The following is a 6,824-nucleotide window of genomic DNA, read 5'->3' as shown; positions in this document are numbered from 1 at the left end:
AACACTGATGCTGTGGTGTGAATGTTTGTCCCTCACATAGGATTCCAGAACACTGCTATGGAGGTCTGAATGTTTGTCCCTCACAAAAGATTCCAGAACACTACTACGAGGGTCTGAATGTTTGTCCCTCACATAGGATTCCAGAACACGCCTTTGGTGGTCTGAATGTTTGTCCCTCACATAGGATTACAGAACACTCCTGCTGTGGTCTGTATGTTTGTCCCTCACTTAGGATTCCGGAACAATGTTACGAGGGTCTGAATGTTTATCCCTCACATAAGATTCCAGAACACTCCTACGAGGGTCTCAATGTCTGTCCCTCACATAGGATTCCAGAACACTGCTGCTGTGGTCTGAATGCTTGTCCCTCACTTAGGATACAGGAACAGTGCTCCTGTCGTTTGAACATTTCTCCGTCACATGGGATTCCAGAACAGTGCTACGGGGTTCTGAATTATTCTCCATCACATAGGATTCCAGAAAACTCCTACTGTGGTCTCAATGTTTGCCCTGCACGTGGGATTCCAGAAAACCCCAGCTTTGGTATGAATGTTCCTCCTATAGGATTCCAGAACACTCCTGCTCTCGTCTGAATGTTTCTCCCTCAGTTAGGATTCCAGAACACTGCTGCGTTCTGAGTATTTGTCCCTTACATTCGATTCCAGAACACTGCTACGTGGGTCTAAATTTTAGTCCATCACATAGGATTCTAGAATATTGCTACAAGCGTCTGAAAGGTGTCCATCACATAGGATTTCAGAACACTGGTACGAGGTTCCGAATCATTCTCTGTCACATAGGATTCCAGAACACTCCTGTTGTCTGAATATTTGTCCGTCACTTAGGATTCCAGCACACTGCTGTTGGGTTCTGAGTGTTTGTTCCTCACTTACGATTCCAGAACACTGCTACGTGGGTCTACAATTTTGTAACTCACATAGGATTCCAGAACACTCCTGCTGTGGTCTGAATATTTGTCCATCACATAGGATTCCAGAACATTTCTGCTGTGGTCTGAATGTTTGTCCCTCAGGTAGGATTCCAGAACAATGCTATGAAGGTCTGAATGTTTGTCCCACACATAGGATTCCACAACAACCCAGTTGTGGTCTGAATGATTGGCCCTCACATAGGATTCCAGAACATTGCTCCTTTTCTCTGAGTGTTTGTCACTCACATAGGATTCCAGAACACTGCTCCTTTTCTCTGAGTGTTTGTCACTCACATAGGCGTCCACAACACTCCTGCTCTGGTCTGAATGTTTCTCCCTCGAATAGGATTCCAGAACACTGCTGCTGGGATCTGAGTGTTTATCCCTCATATAGGATTCCAGAAGACTGCTACCAGTGTCTGATCGTTTGTACCTCACATAGGATTCCAGAACATTCCTGCTCTGATCTGAATGTTTCTCCCTCAGATACAACACCAGAACACTGCTGCTGGATTCTGAGTGTTTCTCCCTCACTTATGATTCCAGAACACTGCACGTGGGTCTACGTGTTTGTCCCTCACATAGTGTTCCAGAACACTGATGATGTGGTCTGAATATTTGTCCCTCACATAGGATTCCAGAAGACTGCTGCTGGGTTCTGCATGCTTCTCCCTCACATTGGATTCCAGAACACTGCCATGATGGTCTGATTTATTGTACCTCACTTAGGATTACAGGAATTTCCTGCTCTGGTTTGAATGTTTCACCCTCAAGTAGGATTCCAGAACACTGCTGCTGGGTTCTGAGTGTTTGTCCCACACATACGATTCCAGAACTCTGCTACGTGGGTCTAAACATTTCTCCTTCACATTGTATTCCAGAACACTGCTGCCGTGGTCTGAAGGTTTGTCCCTCCCATAGGACTCCGGGACCATGCTGCTGGATTCTCAGTGTTTGTCCCTCAAATAGGATTCAAGAACACTGCTACTAGGGTCTGAAAGTTTGTCTGTCACATAGGATTCGATAACACGGTTGTGAGGTTCTGAATTATTCTCTGTCACATAGGATTCCAGAACACTCCTGCTGTGTTCAGAATGTTCGTCTCTCACTTGAGATTCCAGAACACTGCTGTTGGGTTCTGAGTGTTTTTTCTTCACGTACGATTCCAGAACACTTCTACGTGGGTCTAAATGTTTGTCCTTCACATAGGATTGCAGAACACTGCTGGTGTGGTCTGAATGTTAGTCCATCACTTAGTATTCCAGAACACTGCTGCTGGGTTCTGAGTGTTTCTCCCTCAAATAGGATTCCAGAACATTGCTAATAGGGTCTGAATGATTGTCCCTCACATAAGATTTCAGAACACTCCTACGAGGGTCTGAATGTTTGTCCCTCACATAGGATTCCAGAACACTGCTGCTGTGGTCTCAATGCTTGTCCCTCACTTAGGACACCAGAACAGTGCTCCCGTGATTTGAACGTTTCTCAATCACATAGGATTTCAGAACAGTGCTGGGGGTTCTGAATTTTTCTCCATCACATAGGATTCCAGAACACTCCTGCTCTATTCTTAATGTTTCTCCCTCAGTTAGGATTCTAGTACACTGCTGCTGGGTTCTGAGTGTTTGTCCCTTACGTTCGTTTCCAGAACACTGCTAAGTGGGTCTAAATGTTTGTCCATCACATAGGATTCTAAAATATTGTTACAAGCGTCTGAAAGTTGTTCATCAGATAGGATTCCAGAGCACTGCTACGAGGTTCTGAATTATTCTCCGTCACATAGGATTCCAGAACACTCCTACTGTCCTCTGAATATTTGTCCGTCACTTAAGATTCCAGAACACTGCTGTTGGGTTCTGAGTTTTTGTCCCTCACATACGATTCCCGAACACTGCTACGTGGGTCTAACAGTTTGTCACTCACATAGGATTCCAGAACATTCATGCTGTGGTCTGAATGTTTGTCTCTCACTTAGGATTCCAGAACAATGCTACGAGGGTCTGAATGTTTGTCCAACATGCAGGATTCCAGAACACCCCAGCTGTGATCTGAATGATTGTCCCTCACATAGGATTCCAGAACACTCCTGCTCTCGTCTGAATGTTTGTCCCTCACGTAGGATTCCAGAAGACTGCTACTGCTGTCTGAATGTTAGTCACTCACATAGGATTCCAGAACACTCCTGCTGTGGTCTGTATGTTTGTCCCTCCACTAGGATTCCAGAACACTGCTGCTGTGTTCTGAATGTTTGTCCCTCACAAATGATTCCACAACACTCCTGCGAAAGTCTGAGTGTTTGTCCCTCACATAGGATTCCAGAACGCTGCTGCTGGGTTATGAGTGATTGTCCCTCACTTAGGATTCCAGAACACTGTTATGAGGGTCTGAATGTTTGTCCCTCACATAAGATTCCACAACACTGCTACGAGGGTCTGAATGTTTGTCCCTCATTTAGGATTCCAGAACACTCCTGCTGTGGTCTCAATGTTTGTCCCTCACCTAGGATTCCAGAATAATGCTATGAAGGTCTGAATGTTTGTCCCTCACATAGGATTCCAGAACACCCCAGCTGTGGTCTGAACGATTGTTCCTCACATAGGATTCCAGAAGACTCCTGCTATGGTCTACATGTTTATCCCTCAGTTAGGATTCCAGAACACTGCTGCTGGGTTCTGAGTGTTTGTCCCTTACGTTCGATTCCAGAACACTGCTAAGTGGGTCTAAATGTTTGTCCATCACATAGGATTCTATAATATTGCTAAGAGCGTCTGAAAATTGTCCATCACATAGGATTAGAGAACACTGCTACGAGGTTCTGAATTATTCTTCGTCACATAGGATTCCAGAACACTCCTCCGGTCTTCTGAATATTTGTCCATCATTTAGAATTGAAGCACACTGCTCTTGGGTTCTGAGTGTTTGTCCCTCACGTATGATTCCAGAACACTTCTACGTGGGTCTAATGGAATCACATAGGATTCCAGAAAAATCCAGCTGTGGTCTGAATATTTGTCCGTCACGTAATATTCCAGAACATTCCTGCTGTGGTCTGAATGTTTGTCCCTCACTTAGGATTCCAGAACACTACTACTGTTGTTTGAACGTTTGTCGCACAATTAAGATTCCAGAGCGATGCTACGAGGGTCTGAATATTTGTCCAACACGCAGGATTCAAGAACACCCCAAGTGTGGCCTGAATGATTGTCCCTCACATAGGATTCTAGAACACTCCTGCTCTTGTCTTAATGTTTGACCCTCCTGTAGGATTCCAGAGCACTGCTGCTTTGGTCTAAATGTTTGTCCCTCATTTAGGATTCCAGAACACTGCTGCTGTTGTCTGAATGTTTGTCCCCCACGTAAGATTCCAGAACACTGCTACGTGGGTCTAAATGTTTGTCTCACTTATAGGATTCCAGAACACTGCTACGACGTTCTGAAAATTTGTCCCTCAGATATGATTCCAGAACACTGCTGCTGTGTTCTGAATTTTGTCCCTCACAAAGGATTCCTGAAGACTCCTGCTTTGGTCTGAATGTTTGTCCCTCACTTATGATTCCAGAACACTGCTACATGTGTCTAAATGTTTGTCCCTCACATAGGATTCCAGAATATTCCTGCTGTGGTCTGAATGTTTCTCTCTCACATAGGATTCCAGAACAATGTTGCTGGGGTCTGGAATTTTCTCCCTCACATAGGATTCCAGAACACTGCTACGAGAGTCTAAATGATTGTACCACACGTAGCACTCCAGAACACTCGTGCTCTGGTCTGAATGTTTCTCCCTCAGATAGGATTTGAGAACACTGCTGCTGTGTTCTGAGAGTTTGCCCCTCATGTACGATTCCAGAACACTGCTACGTGAGTCTAAATATTTGTCCACCACATAAGATTCCAGAACACTGCTTTTGGGTTCTGAGTGTTTGTCCCTCACATATGATTCCACAACACTACAACGTGTGTCTAAATGTTTGTCCTTCACATAGGATTCCAGAACCCTCCTGCTGTGGTCTGAATGTTTGTCCCTCACATAAGATTCCAGAACACTGCTACAGGATTCTGAATGTTTGTTCCTCACCCAGGATTCCAGAACATTGCTGTTGTGGTCTGAATGTTTGTCCCTCACATAGGATCCCAGAACACTCCTGCTGTTGTCTGAATGTTTGTCCCACATGTAGGATTCCAGAAAAACCCAGCAGTGTTCTGAATGATTGTTCCTTACATAGGATTCCAGAACACTCCTGCTCTGGTCTGAATGTTTCTCCCTCACATAGGATTCCAGAACACTGCTACGAATGTCTGAATGATTCTTCCTCACATAGGATTCCAGAACACTCCTGCTCTGTTCTGAATGTTTCTCCCTCAGATAGGATTCCAGAACACTGCTGCTGGGTTCTGAGTGTTTGTTCCTCAAGTACGATTCTAGAACACTGCTACGTGGGTCTACGTTTGTCCATTACTTAGGATTCCAGAACACTGCTACGAGGGTCTGAAAGTTTGTCCATTACATAGGATTCGAGAACACTGCTACGAGGTTCTGAACTATTTTCCATCACGTAGGATTCCAGAACACTCCTGCTGTCGTCTGAATGTTTGTCCCTCACTTATGATTATAGACCACTGCTGTTGGTTTCTTAGTGTTTGTCCCTCACGAACGATTCCAACACTGCTACTTGGGTATAAATGTTTGTCTGTCACATAGGATTTCAGAACTCTCCTGCTGTGGTCTGAATATTTGTCCCTGTCTTAGGATTCCAGAACTCTGCTGCTGTGGTCTGAATGTTTGTCCCTCACAGAGGATTCCAGAACACTGCTGCTGTGGTCTGAAAGCTTTTCCCTCACATAAGATTCTGAACAGTGTTACGAGGGTCTGAATGTTTCTCCCACACTCAGGATTCCAGAACACACTAGCTGTGGTCTGAATGACTGTCCCTCATATAGGATTCCAGAACACTGCATCTGGGTTCTGAGTGTTTCTCCCTCACAAAGGATTCCAGACCACTGCTACGGGGTTCTGAATATCTGTCCTTCACATAAGATTCCAGAACACGGCTTCATGTGTCTCAATTTTGGTCCCTCACATAAGATTTCAAAACACTGCTGCTGTGGTCTAAATTTTTGTCCCTCACATAGGATTCCAGAACTCTCCTGCTGTTGTCTGAATATATGTACCTCATTTTGGACTCCAAAACAGTGCTACGAGGGTCTGAATGCTTGTGCTACACATGGGATTATAGAACACGCCATCTGTGGTCCGAATGATTGTCCCCCAAATAAGATTCCAGAACACTGCTACTGGGTTCTGTTTCACCCTCACATAGGATTCCAGAACACTGCTACAAGGTTCTGAATGTTTCTCCCTCAGATAGGATTCCAGAACACTCCTTCTCTTTTCTGAATGTTTCTCCTTCACATAGGATTCCATAACTCTGCTACGAGAGTCTGAATGTTTGTCCCTCACATAATATTCCAGAACACTGCTACGAGGTTCTGAATGTTTGTTCCTCACATGGGATTCCAGAGCAGTGCTGCTGTGTTCTGAAAGTTTGTCCCTCACATAGGATTCCAGAACACTCCTCCTGTGGTCTGAATGTGTCTTCTTCACTTAGGATTCCAGAGAAATGCTACGTGGGTCTAAATGATTTTACCTCACATAGGATTACAGAACAATCCGGCTGTGGTCTGAATGTTTCTCCCTCAGATAGGATTCCAGAACACTGCTACGATGGTCTGTATCTTGGTCCTTCACATAGGATTCCAGAACACTCCTGCTGTCGTCTGAAAGTTTGTCCCTCACTGAGGATTCCAGAACAATGCTAGGAGGGTCTGAATGTTTGTCCCACACGTAGGATTCCAAATCATACCAGATTTTGTCTGAATGATTGACTCTCACATA

This window comes from Homo sapiens, unplaced genomic scaffold (genome assembly GCF_000001405.40).
Source record: "Homo sapiens unplaced genomic scaffold, GRCh38.p14 Primary Assembly HSCHRUN_RANDOM_CTG17".
NCBI lineage: Eukaryota > Metazoa > Chordata > Mammalia > Primates > Hominidae > Homo > Homo sapiens.
This window is presented reverse-complemented; position numbering follows the sequence as displayed.